Source organism: Homo sapiens, chromosome 20 (genome assembly GCF_000001405.40).
Source record: "Homo sapiens chromosome 20, GRCh38.p14 Primary Assembly".
Lineage (NCBI taxonomy): Eukaryota > Metazoa > Chordata > Mammalia > Primates > Hominidae > Homo > Homo sapiens.
Window position 1 is genome coordinate 29,290,202 of NC_000020.11, and position 17,255 is coordinate 29,307,456.

General features: G+C 48.6%; 3 pseudogenes, besides 1 other annotated feature; 1 reads left to right on the forward strand and 2 right to left on the reverse strand.

The window, feature by feature from the left end:
- Positions 1 to 17,255: part of a centromere (Linear centromere model derived predominantly from reads generated in PMID: 17803354. This region does not represent an actual centromere sequence, as long-range ordering of repeats and unmapped WGS contigs is not provided by the model. For details of model production, see http://arxiv.org/abs/1307.0035.) that runs on past both edges of the window.
- Positions 6,894 to 7,045, reverse strand: LOC110467521 (RNA, 5.8S ribosomal pseudogene; annotated as a pseudogene).
- Positions 8,097 to 9,956, reverse strand: LOC110467538 (RNA, 18S ribosomal pseudogene; annotated as a pseudogene).
- Positions 10,013 to 13,293, forward strand: LOC107987277 (serine/arginine repetitive matrix protein 1-like; annotated as a pseudogene).

Sequence of the window (17,255 nt, forward strand, 5' to 3'; positions counted from 1 at the left end):
TATCCCTTTGTAGATTTTACAAAAATACTGTTTCCAAATCTTCAATCAAAGAAATGTTCAACTGTGTGAGATGAATGCAAACGTCACAAAGAAGTTTCTCAGAATGCTTCTGTCTGATTTTTATGTGAAGATATTTCCTTTTTCACCATAAGCCTCAAAGCGCTCCAAATATCCATTTTCAGGTTGTACAAAAAGACTGCTTCCAATCTGCTCAATCGAAGGAAATGTTCAACTCTGTGAGATGAAAGCACACATCACAGAGAAGTTTCTCACAAAGCTACTGTTTAGTTTTTATGTGAAGATATTTCCTATTTCACCATTGGCCATAAAGGGCTCACAAATATACCTTTGCAGTTGCTACAAAAATACTGTTACCAAACTGCTCAATCAAAAGAAAGTTTCAACTCTGTGAGATGAATGGACACATCACAAAGTAGTTTCTAAGAATGCTTCTGTCTAGTTTTTGTGGGAAGATATTTCTTTTTCACCATAGGCCTCAAACGGCTCAGAAATATCCCTTTGCAGATTGTAGAAAAAGACTGTTTCCAAACTGCTCCATGAAAAGAAAGGTTAAACTCTGTGAGATGAAATCTCTCATCACAAAGAAGTTTCTCAGAATGCTTCTGTCTAGTTTTTATGTGAAGAAGTTTCCTTTTTCACCATAGGCCTAAACTGCTCCAAATATACATTTGTTTATTCTATGAAAAGACAGTTTCCAACTGCTCAATCAAAAGAATAGTTCAACTCTGTGAGATGAATGCACACATCACAAAAAAAGTTTCTCAGAAAGCTTCCATTTAGTTTTTATGTGAAGATATTTCCTTTTTTACCATGGGCCTCAAAGCACTCCAAATATCCATTTGCAGATCCTACAAAAAGAGTGTTTACAAACTGCTCAATCAAAAGAGAGGTTCAACTCTGTGAGACGGAAGCACACATCACAAATAAGTTTCTTAGAAACCTTCGGTCTAGTTTTTATGGGAAGATATTTCATATTTCACCATAGTCCTCAATGGGCTCAGAAATATACCTTTGCAGATTCTTCAAAAGGATTGTTTCCAAACTGCTCAATCCAATGAAAGGTTCAAAACTGTGAGATGAATTCACACATCACAAAGAAGTTTCTCAGAAAGCTTCTGTCTAGTTTTTATGTGAAGATATTTCCTTTTTCACCATAAGCCTCAAACCACTCACAAACATCCCTCTGGAGATATTACAAAAACACTGTTTCCAAACTGTTCAATAAAAAGAAAGGTTCAGCTCTGTGTGGTAAATGCACATGTCACTGAGAAGTTTCTCAGAATGTTTCTATCTACTTTTAATGTGAAGATATTTCCTTTCTCAGCAAGGCTTCAAACTGCTCCAAATATCCATTTGCATATTCTACAAAAAGATGGTTTCCAAACTCCTCAATGAATAGAAAGGTTCAACTCTGTGAGATGAAATCGCACATCACAAAGAAGTTTCATGGAATGTTGCTTTCTAGTTTTTATGTAAAGATATTTCCTTTTTCACCATAGTCCTCAAAGTGCTCCAAATATCCATTTGCAGATTATACAAAAAGTGTGTTTCCAAACTGCTCAATCAAAAGAAAGGTTCAACTTCGTGAGATGAAAGCACACATCACAAAGAAGTTTCTCAGAAATGTTCTGACTAGTTTTTATGTTAAGATAGTTCCTATTTCACCATAGGCCTCAATGGGCTCAAAAATATCCCTTTGCAGATTCTACAAAATGTCTGTTTTGAAACTCCTCAATCAGAAGAAAGGTTCAACTCTGTGAGATGAATGCATACATCACAAAGATGTTTCTCAGAATGCTTCTGTCTAGTTTTTATATGAAGATATTTCCTTTTTCACCATAGGCCTCAAAGCGCTCCAAATATCCATTTCCATATTCTACAAAAAGACTGTTTCCAAACTCCTCAATCAAAAGAGAGATTCAGCTCTGTGGGATGAAAGCACACTTCACAAAGTAGTTTCTCAGAATGCTTCTGTCTAGTTTTTATGTGAATATATTTCCTATTTCACTTTAGGCCATAAAGGGCTCACAAATATCCCTCTGCAGATTCTAGAAAATTCTAAAAAAGGACTCTTTCCAAACTGCTCAATCAAAAGAAAGGTTCAACTCTGTGAAATGAATGCACACATCACAAAGAAGTTTCTCAGAAAGCTTCTGTCCAGTTTTTATGTGAAGATGTTTCCCTTTTCACCATACCTATCAACGCGCTCAAAATAGCCCTTTGCAGATTCTCTGAAAAGACTGTTTCCAAACTTCTCATTCAAAAGAATGGTTCAACTCTGTGAGATGAATGCACATATCACAAAGAAGTTTCTCTGAAATCTTCTGTCTAGTATTTATGTGAAGATATTTCTTTTTTCACCATAGTCCTCAAGCTGCTCACAAATATCCCTTTGCAGATTTTACGAGAACAGAGTTTCCAGACTCATCAAAGAATATAAACTTTTATCTCTGTGAGTTGAATGCACACCTTGCAAAACAGCTTCTCAGAAATATTCTTATAGTTTTTATTGAAGATATTTCCTTTTTCACCATAAGCCTCAGAGAGCTGACAAATATCTCTTTGCTGATTCTACAAAAATACTGTTTCCAAACTGCTCAATTGAAAGAATCGTTCAACTCTGTGAGACGAACGCACACATAGCCAGGAATTTTCTCAGAAACTTCTGTCACGTTTTTATGCGATGATATTTCCTTTTTCTGCAGATTTTACAAGAAAATCCCTTTGCAGATTTTACAAGAAAAGAGTTTCCCATCTGCTAAATGAAAAGAAACGTTTACCTCTGTGAGATGAATGCACACATTGCAGAGCAGTTTCTCAGAAACCTTCTGTCTAGTTTTTATGTGAAGATATTTCCTTTTTCACCACAGGCCTCAAAGTGCTCACAAATATCCCTTTGCATATTCTACAAAAAGACTGTTTCTGAACTGCTCAATCAAAGGAATTGTTCAACTCTGTGAGATGAGTGCACACATCACAAAGAAGTTTCTCAGAATGCTTCTGTCTAGTTTTCATGTGAAGATATTTCCTTTTTCACCATAAGCCTCAAAGTGTTCACAAATATCCCTTTGCAGATTCTTCAGAAAGACTGTTTCCAAAATGCTCAATCAATAGAAAGGTTCAACTCTGTGAGATGCATTCACACATCACAAAGGAGTTTCTCAGAAACCTTCTTTCTAGTTTTTATGTGAAAATATTTCCTCTTTCACCATAGGCTTCAAAGCGCTCACAAATATCTCTTTGCAGATTCTACAAAAAGACTGTTACCAAACTACTCAATCAAAAGAATGGTTCAACTCTGAGATGAATGCACACATCACAAAAAAGTTTCTCAGAAAGCTTCTGTCTAGTTTTTATGTGAAGATATTTCCTTTTTCACCATTGGCCTCCAAGTGCTCACAAATATCTCTTTGCCAATTCTACAAAAATACTGTTTTCTAACTGCTCAATCCAAAGAATATTTCAACTCTGTGAGATGAATGCACACATAACCAGGAAGTTTCTCAGAAACTTCTGTGAAGTTTTTATGCGATGATATTTCCTTTTTCAACATAGGCCTCAAACTGCTCACAAATATCCCTTTGTGGATTCTATCAGAACAGAGTTTCCAATCTGCTCAATGAAAAGAAACATTAACCTCTGTGAGATGAACCCACACATCACAAAGCAGTTTCTCATAAACCTTCTTTCTAGTTTTTATGTGAAGCTATTTCCTTTTTCACCATAGGCTTCATAGCGCTCACAAATATCCCTCTGCAGATTCTACAAGAACACCGTTTCCAAGCTTTTCAATCAAAAGAATGGTTTAACTCTGTGAGATGAATGCACACGTCACAAAGTAGTTTCTCAGAAAGCTTCTGTCTAGTTTTTATGTGAAGATATTTCCTTTTTCACCATAGACCTCAAAGCACTCACAAATATCACTTTGCAGATTGCACAAGAACTGAGTTTCCAGACTGATTAAAGGAATGAAACGTTTAACTCTGTGAGATGAATGCAGACATCACAAAGCAGTTTCTCAGAAACCTTCTTTATAGTTTTTATGTGAAGGTATTTCCTTTTTCACCATGGCCTCAAAGCACTCACAAATATCCCTTTGCAGATTCTACAACAACAGAATTTCCAAACTGCTCATAATTAATTTTTAGCACCAACATGAGCATTTAGACACACTGCTTGTGGTGCAGCACACATGTATTATCCACACTGAAATTAGGAATTCAACTGAAGTTCATGTGGAGCCGAAAATGTGAATATTTGGGGGACCTTGGAGATGATCTATCTCACTTTATTTTTTAGAAAAGAAAACAGATTCAGGGAAAGGGCACGCATTGCTTAAGGTGATTCAGCAGCTTTGGCGCAGAAACACAACACACCTAAGGTGATTCATCAGGTTTGGAGCAGAAACACAATACAATCTCTGTTCTTTTGTGTCTCAGATCCAGAATTTTTTCACAATACTGAACTACTTATGTTTCTGATTCCTTATTTTTTCTTTTTAAGTTTTGCCAGTATTGTCTTATGAAGATCCTATTCTTTATCCTAAATATTTAAATTCGTTACCACTATTGTCTCTTTATAAGTAAAATTACTAGTTATTATTATAAATGATTATTCAATCACTTTTCATTTTTTGGTGGTCCAGTACAAAGCTAGTAACAAATAAACACTATTGGCCTTGGCAATCCAAGAGGAGCTCAAGTCTTCCAGGGCACGTCAGGAAAAGGCTAAATGACAGCTGTGCTGCGAGTGGACAGAATACAGCTCTCATACACATTGTTGAGTATTTGATGTTCTTCAACAATTTCATTAATCTTCAGTTTTTTCCTCTTTGAAGTGAAAGTCTGCTATGACTTTCAAATTTCTTTTGAAATAATTATAGATTCACAGGAAGTTGCAAAATGTACAGGGATGTCTTAGGTACTCTTCACTAATTCCAGTGGTGACATCTCGCATAGCCATAGAGCATTATCAAAACCTGGAAACTGACATACGTACAATTCAGAAAGTTTACTCAGATCGCAACCGTTTGTATACATTCATTTTTGTATGTGTGTATGTGTGTGCGTGTGTTCTGTGCATTTTTATGTGGTGTAGATCTCTGTAACTACCACTTCCACAGTCAAGATACAGAACTGTAGCCTCACCACCAGGCTCCAACTTGTGATCTTTGCTGACACTCTGACACTTTTTCCTCCACACCTTCCCCTTGGCAACCCCATAGTCTGTTCTCCATCTTTACAATTTTATTTCAATAATTTATATAAATGTAATTGTACAAAATCGAATCTTTAAAGGGAAAAACAAGTCACAGATAGTTTTGTAAGTGCTGTAAAATAGTGTTTAACATTCATTTGTTATATGTTCTATTTGTCTCAAAAAAATGTGCTTTGTTCTTTCCCATACTTTCTGATATCAGGATAGGAAATCAATACCAAACAATACAATTCCATTCATTTTTTTCCACAGCTTGGTTTTCACTGTTGTTGCCTAACATTTATTTTTCCATTTACTCTTTCTCTCTGTTTTCCATCACATAAAAGTAACTTTGTGTTCTTTATCTCTTCTAAGAAAACTTGGTAATGAGTCTTTAATGTGACGCCTGGACCACCCTTGTTTTGATTTTGTGTTATGGGTATTCTTTTGTGTGATCGTTCTCATGGAGAGTTCTTGTGAAGCTGGGCTTTTCCAGTGGTTTGTCAAAATGGAAATAGATATTTAACAAACCAAACACAAAATGACCTTGCTCCAGAAATGCATCATTTCGGAGAAAACACTACCTCTTCCAACTAGAGATTGTGAATATTACTCATGTTATCCTTTACTCCCTTTTATTAAAACTGTAGTTTTTTACACATTTGTATAACTCAGGTAATGAAATGTGAAACTAAGTGATTGCCTAACAATTATAATTGATGTTAACGATGCTACCGGGAGGCCACCCCTACAGTGGCTGTGCCAAGTCTATGTACTTGCTAGCTTTGCTAAGTTACATGGGATTGCCTATGTACTAAATGTAGGTGGGGGACTGGTCTGAGGATGCGGCAGTGCCACCCTGCCCCAATGTCGAAGCTCTGGATGGGGCGCCAGGCACCGTGCGGTCAAGAGATGGAGGCGGGCGCGTGATGGCGGACGACACCGCAGCGCCCAGGGGGTCACTGCCAGGGGCAAACGAACCCTGGGACCACGGCCAGGAATGCTGTCAGACGGGCCGTGCAGTGGGCTTTCAGTCCCGGACACACCGCGTCACATGCCGGGCAGGCGAGGGGCAGGCTGGCGAGGAGGACTGTGCCTCAGAGGGGTGTTGGGGAGGAGGGGCGCTGGAGCGGTGGTCGGCCAGTCGCCAGGCCGCCACCAGGGGCAAGCGGTGAACTGCGGCGACGGGGACATGCTCCCCAACCCTCTCCCCGGTGGACCCTTCCTACTTGCCTTCCCGCCCAACTAGCCCCCACCACTGATGACACACGATGACGATGATGGCATGGGACCTTTCACCCCACCAGGGTCAACAAACCCTGCACAACGAGTTGTGTGAGGCACGAGGGAGCCCCCGAGGGAGGAAACCGGACCGCGTTGGTGGCCAAGGGAACTCGACCCCAGCCAGCTCTATTCCCTCTATGTTTTCGCGGGTGGTGGTGCCGCCCTCTCTCTCTTCCTCACAGCCAGGAGCCCCCCTTCCCCACGCCACCCAACGCGTGACCACACCGGGCCTGTGAGGGGAGGGGGAAGGGGCAGGCACAGCAGGAGAGGAGGGCAGACATCACCGGTCTGCACTTGGGAGGACGGAGGGCACCGACGTGCCCTGCCACGGAACCCGCAACCGTGCACCCTGAGGATCCCGGAGGCACCCCCAGGGGCTATTGATTGGCAAGTGACACTCAGACAGGCATAACCCTGGGAGGAACCCGGGCCACAAGTCCATTCAAAGTGTCAATGATCAATGTGCCCTGCAATTCACATTAATTCTCACAGCTAGCTGCATTCTTCATCAATGCAGAAGCTGAGTGATCCACCGCTAAAAGTCATACAAGGTCAATTTGGCTAGGGTGCTCCCAACAATGTGAGGCCCACCTGGCACAGCACGTCCTCCAGAGGGGTTACCTCAGACCGGCCAGTCAGACAGCAAGGGGATGAGCCTCCAGAAAGGGGTCAGAAGGTTTCACAACACAGGGAGGTGGTGCCAACCACGGGGGTTGGGGGGGGCGAATGCTGACACCACCCTACGGGCACCAAGGGGTTCCTGCCCCCACAGCGTGGGGCACAAGCCACATGCGCAGCATGCACGCGATAGCGTGACGGCCACTGGGAAAAGCCCATACCAGCGTCAGCGGCGACACGCGAGAGCGGCACAGCCCCGGCCGGCCGGGGAGACGGAGTCGGCGGGGGAGGTGATGGAGGGGCGGGCCCCTCCCGAATGGACTCCCCCGTGCGCCCACGACACCCGACCCACAGATGGACAGGTGACCCCCCAAGGGGTCCTTAAAACTCCGCTCCAGAACGCACTAGGTACCTGGATGGCAGGGGCGGACAAGGAGCGGGGTACTGGCGTCCGGCCCCCTACCCTCGAGAAGCCCTAGTGGGAAGGCTGGGGAGAGCCAGCGGGCCGGGCCGAGCCCAGTGGCGCGGTGTGGCAGAGGCGATGATGGTGCCAGTGGCAGCGATGGGAACCCGGCCAGCCCCGACAGGAGCAGGCAAGATGGGGCCGAGCCGGCAGGACAGGGCGGGACGACGGCCTCGGCAGGGAGGGCACAGAGACCCACACCCCACCGTGACGCTGAGAACCACCCCGTGCCTGCCAACACACACGTGGGGGCCATGGCAGGGGACCGCTCCCCACTGCTCACCAGGCCGGCGAGCCATCCAGCCCACCCCACGACACGCACACACAGTTTCGTCCCCGCACGCGTGTCTCTCTCTACCCCCTCTCTCCCTCCCGAGTTCTCCTGCTCTCGGGGCAGGCGGGGCCGTGCAACAAACAAAGGGCACAACCCCACCAGCACACGTGCTGCACGGGGAACACGGTCGGCCAAGGAGGAAGGACACGTTGGCGCCTCTGTGGCTTCATTCTGCTCCGTTAATGATCCCTCCACAGGTTCACCTACAGAAACTTTGTTACGACTTTTACTTCCTCTAGATAGTCAAGTTCGACTGTCTTCTCAGTGCTCGGCCACGGCAGTGGGCTGACCCGGCGGGGCTGCTCTGAGGGCCTCACTAAACCATCCAATCAGTAGTAGCAACTGGCGGTGTGTACAAAGGGTAGGGACTTCACACAAGCCTATGACCCACACTTACTGGGAATTCCTCGTTCATGGGGAATAATTGCAATCCCCGATCACCATCACCAATGGTATTCAACAGGTTACCCACGTCTGCCACGTATGGTAGGCACACGCTGAGCCAGTCAGTGTAGCGCACGTGCAGCCCCGGACATCTAAGGGCATCACAGACCTGTTATTACTCAATCTCGGGTGGCTGAATGCCACTTATCCATCTAAGAAGTTGGGGGACACCGACCGCTTGTGGGTCACGTAATTAGTTAGCATGCCAGAGTCTCGTTCGTTATCGGAATTAACCAGACAAATAACTCCACCAGCTAAGGCCATGCACCACCACCCATGGAATTGAGAAGGAGCTATCAGTCTGTCAATCCTGTCTGTGTCTGGGCCGGGTGAGGTTTCCCGTGTTGAGTCAAATTAAGCCACAGGCTCCACTCCTGGTGGTGCCCTTCCACCAATTCCTTTAAGTTTCAGCTTTGCAACCATACTCCCCCCGGGAACCCAAAAACCCAAAGACTTTGGTTTCTTGGAAGCTGCCCAGTGGGTCATGAAAATAACACTGCCGCACGCATCGCCAGTCGGCATCTTTTATGGTCGGAACTACGATGGTATCTGATCGTCTTCGAACCTCCGACTTTCGTTCTTGGTTAATGAAAACATTCTTGGCAAATGCTTTCGCTCTGGTCCGAACTGCGCCGGTCCAAGAATTTCACCTGTAGTGGCGCAATACGAATGCCCCCAGCCGTCCTTCTTAATCATGGCCTCAGTTCCAAAAACCAACAAAATAGAACCGCGGTTCTATTCCATCATTCCTAGCTGCGGTATCTAGGCGGCCCGGGCCTGCTTTGAAAACTCTAACTTTTTCAAAGTAAAAGCTTAGGGCCACGGGATACTCAGCTAAGAACATCGAGGGGGCGCCAAGAGGCAAGGGGCGGGGACGGGCCATGGCTCGCCCGCCCGCCCGCTCCCAAGATCCAACTACGAGCTTTTTAACTACAGCAACTTTAATATACGCTATTGGAGCTGGAATTACTGCAGCTGCTGGCACCAGACTTGCCCTCCAATGGATCCTCGTTAAAGGATTTAAAGTGGACTCATTCCAATTACAGGGCCTCGAAAGAGTCCTGTATTGTTATTTTTCATCACTACCTCCCCGAGTAGGGAGTGGGTAATTTGCATGCCTGCTGCCTTCCTTGAATGTGGTAGCCATTTCTCAGGCTCCCTCTCCAGAATCGAACCCTGATTCCTTGTCACCCGTGGTCACCATGGTAGGCACAGCGACTACCATCGAAAGTTGATAGGGCAGACTTTACAATGGGTCATCGCTGCCACTGGGGGCGTGCAATTGGCCTGAGGTTATCTAGAGTCACCAAAGCCAGTGGCACCTGACCCTCCAGCCGGGGCTGGAGAGGGGCTGACTGGGTTGGTTTTGATCTGCTAAATGCACGCATCTTCCCCGCGAAGGGGGTCAGCGCCCTTTGGCATGTATTAGCTCTAGAATTACCACAGTTTTCCAAGTAGGAGAGGAGCGAGCAAACAAAAGAACCATAACTGATTTAATGAGCCATTCACAGTTTCACTGTACCGGCCCTGCGTACTTAGACATGTATGGCTTAATCTTTGAGACAAGCATATCGTTCTGGTAGGATCAACCATGTAGGTAGAAAGTGGCCTCCGGGCCTCACGATGATGAGCCCGGCATCCCAGTCTTGAGGATGGGCCCAGCAGGGCGGGTGACGGGTAATGTGGGAGGGAGAGAGCAGCGCGGGGCGGTGGGAGGGGGGCGGTGGGGTGGCGAACTGGACATCCCATCCACCCACACGACACAACACCCCGTGACGGGCTCATCACTCCCGACCCTTCGAGCCCACCTGCCAGGAGACAGACCTCCCGACCAGTGTGTGGCAGCCGCAAGGGACCGGCGGCCACTAGCACGTGGCGGGCGCGGGGCGGCCTCGACGTTTGGGCAGCGAAGGAGAGGTGGACCGCGGTGCCTGGGGTCTCATCGTCAGCGGCCTCCAAGCACGAAGGTGGCCCCGCGCGGTACCTGGGGCGGCCGACTGGCCTTTGGCAGGCCCGCGGCTCCCCCACTGCCGCTGCAGTCGCGGCCAGCCCACGGAACCCTCTTCCCTGCCCCCGCTGCAGGCCGACTCCAAACCCTCCGGGCGCCCACCAGGCCCACGCGGGGCGCCGCCGACCTGGTCCTGAAGGCGCGCGCCCGGGGACAGGTACAACGGGCCAACCAGTGGCCGGCGGCGGCGCCCCACAAGGCAGAGCCGGGTTTGGTCCCAGACGGGGCCACCGCAGCCTAAGCCAGTGAGCCACTCGGGGAGAGAGGATCCGCGGGCGGGGTAGGCTGCACAGACAGGCAAGGCCAGGGATCGCGAGGGCAAGGGCACCCGGGAGCCCGCAGAGGGGCGGCTCGGGGAGAAACCTCAGGCACGGCTGGGCCACCAGGAAAACACGGCCATGGGATCTCACCACCACAGACACGAGGGAGGTCCCGCGGCGCCCCGCCTGGGATGCCGGACGGCCCTCGGCACCCACGGAGACCCGCCTCTCGAGCCCTAGTTCCCGCCATCGGGACCCCGAAGCGACCTCAGCCACAAACCCAATGCCAGGGCCACGTTGCTCGTTTCTTGTCCATCCTCCAACCTGGTCAAGCCCCCCACTTGGGATGCTTCCCAGGGCCAGGTGGCCCAAACCCGTTCCATGCAAACGCGGTCGTCGGCCCCGGTCGCTGGTCCCCACGGGAGCGGGCAGAGAGCCGTCTCACAGCAGAGCAGTTCATGTGCCGGATGGAATGCCGGGCACAGCCACCGCTCGCGCAGACTTCCAAGCGCTAGGACGCCGGCCCGTCCCGGCGGGATTCTCCCCCGACTCGGAAGGGGGAGGCACGGGCCACACGGTAGGCAATGAGCCACCCTCGGTCCCCACCGCGGAGGCCGGTGGAACCCTCGCTCTCCCCCACTCACCCCGTCGAGGGGGAAGTGGAGGAGGGTCCTCTCCAAGCGAGTTGCTATGGCAGCGCTATCATAAAGCAGAGAGAAGTGGCAGGCCGGAGAATCTGGTACCCCAAAGGCACACCTCTCGGATCGCTAGAAAAGGCTTTCTCACCAAGGGTGGGTCACATTCCCTACCCGCCAGTCGCCCCTCCTCGGGCCCGCAGAGGCGCTCAGGGATGCCTGGGGAAGGGAGGGGGCCCGCGGTACCAGGAAAAATCTGCTTGCGGCAACCTTGAGCCTTCGTGGTCTGGGCGGGGGGCCTGGCCACTGCACGTGGGCGCAATCCCCCAAGAGCTCCCCCGTCCCCCAGCCTCCTTTCTCCCAGGCAAAGCACCTCCAAGTAAACCCACACACAACCTGTCAGAGGCAGAACAGTAGCCCCTCGGTGGCCGGCCGGTGCACGCGTCACCTGCCCAAGCCCACCTCGATCGCTCACACGGCCCGCACGCACCCGCCAGAGGGGAGCACGAGACCTGCACTCGCCAGACCAGGCGGCACCCTTCCCCACGTGGGGGGGACGCATCTCAACCGCCTCGACCCCCACACCAACGAGCTCCCTCAGGACGCACTTGCGAACACTGTGGCGGCGACCGGAGGAGGGGGCGCGGGGGGTGGAAACCACACACCACCGCTCGGCCTCGGGCACTTGAGGGATAAGCTGGGGGGGGAAGGGGGGGAGCTGGGCGAGGTAGGCTCAAGCCTGTCATCCCCGCACTTTGGGAGGCAAGGGAAGGTGGATCCCTCGATCCGAGCCTTGGCAACATGGTGAAACCTCGTCTCTAAAAAAATACAAAAAGTAACTGGCTTCATAACCTGGACACAAAGTTAATAAATAGATAAATAGGCCAGACACGGTGGCTCACGACTGTAATCCCAGCACTTTGGGAGGCCGAGGCGGGCGGATCACGGGGGTCAGGAGATCGAGACCATCCTGGCTACCACTTGAACCCCGTCTCTACTCAAAATACAAAAAATTAGCCAGGTGTGGTGGCGGTTGCCTGTAGTCCCAGCTACTTGGGAGGCTCAGACAGGAGAATGGCTTGAACCCGGGAGGCAGAGCTTGCAGTGAGCCGACATCACGCCACTGCACTCCAGTCTGGGCAACAGAGCGAGACTCCGTCTCAAAAAATAATAATAATAATAAATAGATTAAAATTGAAAATTAAAAAAAAAAAACGTAGCTGGGTGGGCGCAATTGCTCACGCCTGTCATCCCAGCACTTTGGGAGGCCGAGGTGGGCAGATCACCTGAGGTGGCCAGTTTGAGACCCGCCTGACCCACATAGAGAAATGCCGTCTCCACCAACAATACAAAATCAGCCAGGTGTGGTGGCACGTGCCTGTAATCCCAGCTACTCAGGAGGCTGAGGCAGGAGAATTGCTTGAACATGGGAGGTGGAGGTTGCAGTGAGCTGTGATGGTGCCGTTGCACTCCAGCGTGGGCAACAAGAGTGAAACTCCGTCCCAAAAAAAAAAAAAAAAAATTAAGCGCTGTATTCTGTTATTTTTACTTCCTACCCTGAGAAGAACATAATACAGCTGTTGTCTGTCTGCCTGCCTACCTGCCGGCCTGTGACAGGGCCTCACTCTGTCTTTCGCCCAGACTGGAGTGAGGTGAAACCATTATGGCTCACTCACTGCAGCCTCAACCTCCCCAGGGTTAGGTGATTCCTCAAGGGATCCTACGGTCTCGGCCTCCCAAAGTGTCGGGATTACAGACGTGAGCCACCAGCACCCGGCCTGAGTTAATACATCTGGTCCCTCTACATCTTAACCACACACCCATGAATAACTCAAGTCAAGAGAGAGTTGGTAAGAGACTCTCAGCATTCTCTCCCGAAAGCAGTGAGGTGGATGGCGGCCGGGTGTCCCGAGCTCCTGGGGTTTTAGGTGACCATGCGTAGAGGAGAGATTTCCAGTGTTTCCAGAGAGGTGTGAGCCACAGTCATTGGGGCATCTGAGCACGAGATGGGGTTTCTGACAGCGACTTAAGGGCCAGGAAGGGCCAGAATCTGTCAAGGTCCGTGTCCCAGGGTGGGGCTGATGGAACCCAAGGTAGAGGGAATCAGCAGTCTGCACAGAGAGAGCTCCAGCCCCAGGCCCCACTGTGCAGACCCAATCATAAGGAAGAGAGTCCTTTGTCCTACATGCCACATCCCTCCACTGAACTTGGGAGCGGATCCATTTTCCAAATATGAGGTGATTCTCAGTTTGCAATGGATCACATGGGGCTGGGCTTCCCAGAGTCGGCAGGGTAAATAAGTCATTCTGGCTCGGCCTCCCCCATCCCCTTGTAACTGGTGAGGGTTTTTTTTATTTTTATTTTTTAATTATTTTTATACTTTAAGTTTTAGGGGACAGGTGCACAATGTGCAGGTTAGTTACATATGTATACATGTGCCATGCTGGTGCGCTGCACCCATTAACTCGTCATCTAGCATTACGTATATCTCCTAATGCTATCCCTCCCCCCTCCCCCACTCCACAAGTGCCCAGAGTGAGTGTGATGTTTCCCTTCCTGTGTCCATGTGCTCTCATTGTTCAATTCCCACCTAAGAGTGAGAATATGCGGTGTTTGGTTTTTTAACCTTGTGATAGTTTACTGAGAATGATGATTTCCAATTTCATCCATGGGCCTACAAACGACATGAACTCATCATTTTTTATGGCTGCATAGTATTCCATGGTGTATATGTGCCACATTTTCTTAATCCAGTCTATCATTGTTGGACATTTGGGTTGGTTCCAAGTCTTTGCTATTGTGAATAGTGCCACAATAAACATACATGTGCATGTGTCTTTATAGCAGCATGATTTAGAGTCCTTTAGGTACATACCCAGTAATGGGATGGCTGGGTCAATGGTATTTCTAGTTCTAGTTCTAGATCCCTTTGCCATCCCCATCAAGCTACCAGTGACTTTCTTCACAGAATTGGAAAAAGCTACGTTAAAGTTTAGGCCTCCTAGCCAAAAAGCCAAAGCCACTTCTGGGATTTTTTTCAAAGAGCCAGTGGTTCCACAATGGGCTGTGGGTAGTTGTGGAAATGGAAAGAAGTGTTTGCAGATACATATTTGAGACAGAAGGGACAGGGCTCGGTCACAGGTCATGTAGGACACGAGCAGAGGCACATTGAGAAAACCCTCCCAGCATCCTAGGTGAACAGAGGTATGCCTTTTTGAGACAGTCGAGGGAGACACAACCCCAGATTTTAGGGTTGGATCTTTATTAATATGTAGTATCTATGAGGTATCCAAGTCCAGAAATCAACTCACCAGTTCTTTACAGCATTCTGTAGGGAGATCATATCTGGGATGTCTAAAGTTAAGAATTCAGGCCGTGGTAATGGATTAGATTAGATGTACTTGAACTTATTTTGCAAAGAAAGAGAGGGTGGGAGATAGCGAGAGCCAGAGAGCAAGCGAGAGAGACAGAGACAGAGACACAGAGAGACAGACAGAGAGACACAAAGATACACAAAGAGAGAAAGACAGAAAGAGAGAGACAGACAGATAAAGACACAGAGAAAGACAGAGATGGACAGAGAGAGAAACAGAAAGAAAGATAGAGACAGAAAGAGAGAGAGACAGACAGAGAGAGAGAGACAGACAGACAGGAAGACCGACAGGCAGAGAAAGAGAGTAAGACAGAAGGCAGACACACACACACAAAGAAAGAGAGAAAGAGACAGATGGAGAAACAGTGAGAAAGAGAGAGACAGACAGAGAGAAAGAGACAGAGAGAGAAAGACAGAGACAGACAGAGGGAGAGAGAGAGAAACAGACAGAAAGAGAGAGAGACAGATGGAGACAGAGAAAGAAACAGACAAGGAGAGAGAGAGACAGACAGACAGACAGGCAGAGAAAGACAGTAAGACAGAAGACAGACAGAGAGAGAGAGAGAGAGAGAGACAGGCAGAGAGAGAGACAGAGACAGAGAAACAGACAGGCAAAGAGAGAGAGAGAAAAAAAACCAGACAGACAGAGAGAGAGAGACAAACAGAGAGACTGGGAGAGAGAGTGAGACAGAGAGACCGACAGACAGACAGACAGACAGACAGACAGAGAAAGAGAATAAGACAGAAGACAGACACAGTGAGAGAGACAGAGAGAGAGAGACAGAGACAGTGAGACAGAGAAAGAAAGAGAGTTACAGATAGACAGACAAAGAGACAGACAGAGAAAGACAGAGACGGACAGAGATAGAGAGAAACAAAGAGAGAGAGAGAGAGACAGGCAGGCAGAGAAAGAGAGTAAGACAGAAGACAGACACAGTGAGAGAGACAGGCAGAGAGAGACAGACAGAGACAGAGAGAAAGAAAGAGAGAGACAGACAGAGATGGAGAGAGAGAGACAGAGAGAAACAAACAGAAACAGAGACAGAGACAGAGAGAAACAGACAGACAGGGAGAGAGGGAGAGACAGTGACAGACAGATAGGCAGAGAGAGAGAGACAGACAGGCAGAGAAAGGGAGTAAGACAGAAGACAGACACAGTGAGAGAGACAGGCAGAGAGAGAGAGAGAGAGAAATAGGCAGAGAGATAGAGACAGAGAGAGAGAGAGAAGACAGAGAAGAGACAGAGAGACAGAGAGAGGAGGAGGAAGGGCTTGCTCAGGAAATAATTACACATATTTTATAACGCTTTTGATCCCATAAACGGTGGCCCGGGTGTGCTTTGAAAACAACAACAACAACAACAACAGCAACAAGAGCAGCAGCAGCATTTGCTTACGGATTTCTAGAAAATAAGATGTTCTGAAGTATAGTAAATATTAACCGGCTCTCACTACACGTTGAGAGATTCACAAAAGCGCTAGTTAACAACAGGAGAAAACAGCAACTAACATGTCTTGGGGAAAATATACGTCTTCCTGAAAACTGGGGATTTCTACTTCACCTGAAAAGAAATACATACTAAAAAGGAAAAACAAGAACAAAACAAAACAAAACCACAAACACGGGCCAAGGCACCGTCCCTGGAAATCTTAAGTGAGCAAAGTATTAGTTGTCAGAAAGCGTTTCTATTTTGGGCAAATACTAAGAAGGCCCAGACTAGAGCTGTGACGCCGTTCCCATTGTGAAACTATGCTGGCCAGAGGGCGAGAAACTAAAACATCATGATAAAATGTGATTGAGACCCAGCCAGGGTGAAGCTTTCCTAGGGAGGGAGGCCTGAGGAAGGAAGCTGGGGAAAACCCCAGAACTTCAGACCCGCCCGCTTGCCCACGCGGGTCAAGGGCTATGCCATCGGTCCAAGCTGTCTCTGGGGAAGTGGGACCATGCCACCCTCATCTTCAAAAACGGTGGCCACTGAGTGAGGCCTGACGCCCACCGTTGCAAATGTCAGCCTGGCAAGAATGAGATCGCCGGCAAGGGGTGTTAGAAGGGGAGAGAAGAGGGAGGCGCACCGGGGTGGCTCCGGGTTTCCAAGCAGGGTGTTGGGAGGCGGGGAGTGGGGGGTTTGGGGGGAACCCACCTAACTGATTCACTAAATGAAGGTAAAGGGACCTGGGGAGGGGGGATCCGGGGGGGCAACTTGAAAATTAAACTGACCTCTCCTAAAACCCAAGTGGAAGGGTCAATGCGCATGAAAGAAACCAACACACGAAGAAAACTAAAGCGCTGATCAAAGAACAATAGGGCCCCCGCCAGGGCGGAGGTTCCCTAGGCAACGGAGGGAGAGAGGGAGGGGCCTCCAGAAGGGAGAGATAGAAACCCGTTGCCCCAGGCTTGGTGAAGTCAGCAAGACTTCCCTCCGTGTCACCTCGACTTTCAATAGCAGTGGCTGCTAGGTGATGCCCGAAGACAACCGATGCCTGCAAGTGTCAGTCAGCACGGAAAAGAATGCATTTATTTATTTATTTATTTATTTATTTATTTATTTATTTATTCATTTATTTAGAGACAAGTCTCACTCAATCTACAGCCCGGGCTGTAGTGCAGTGGCGCGATCTC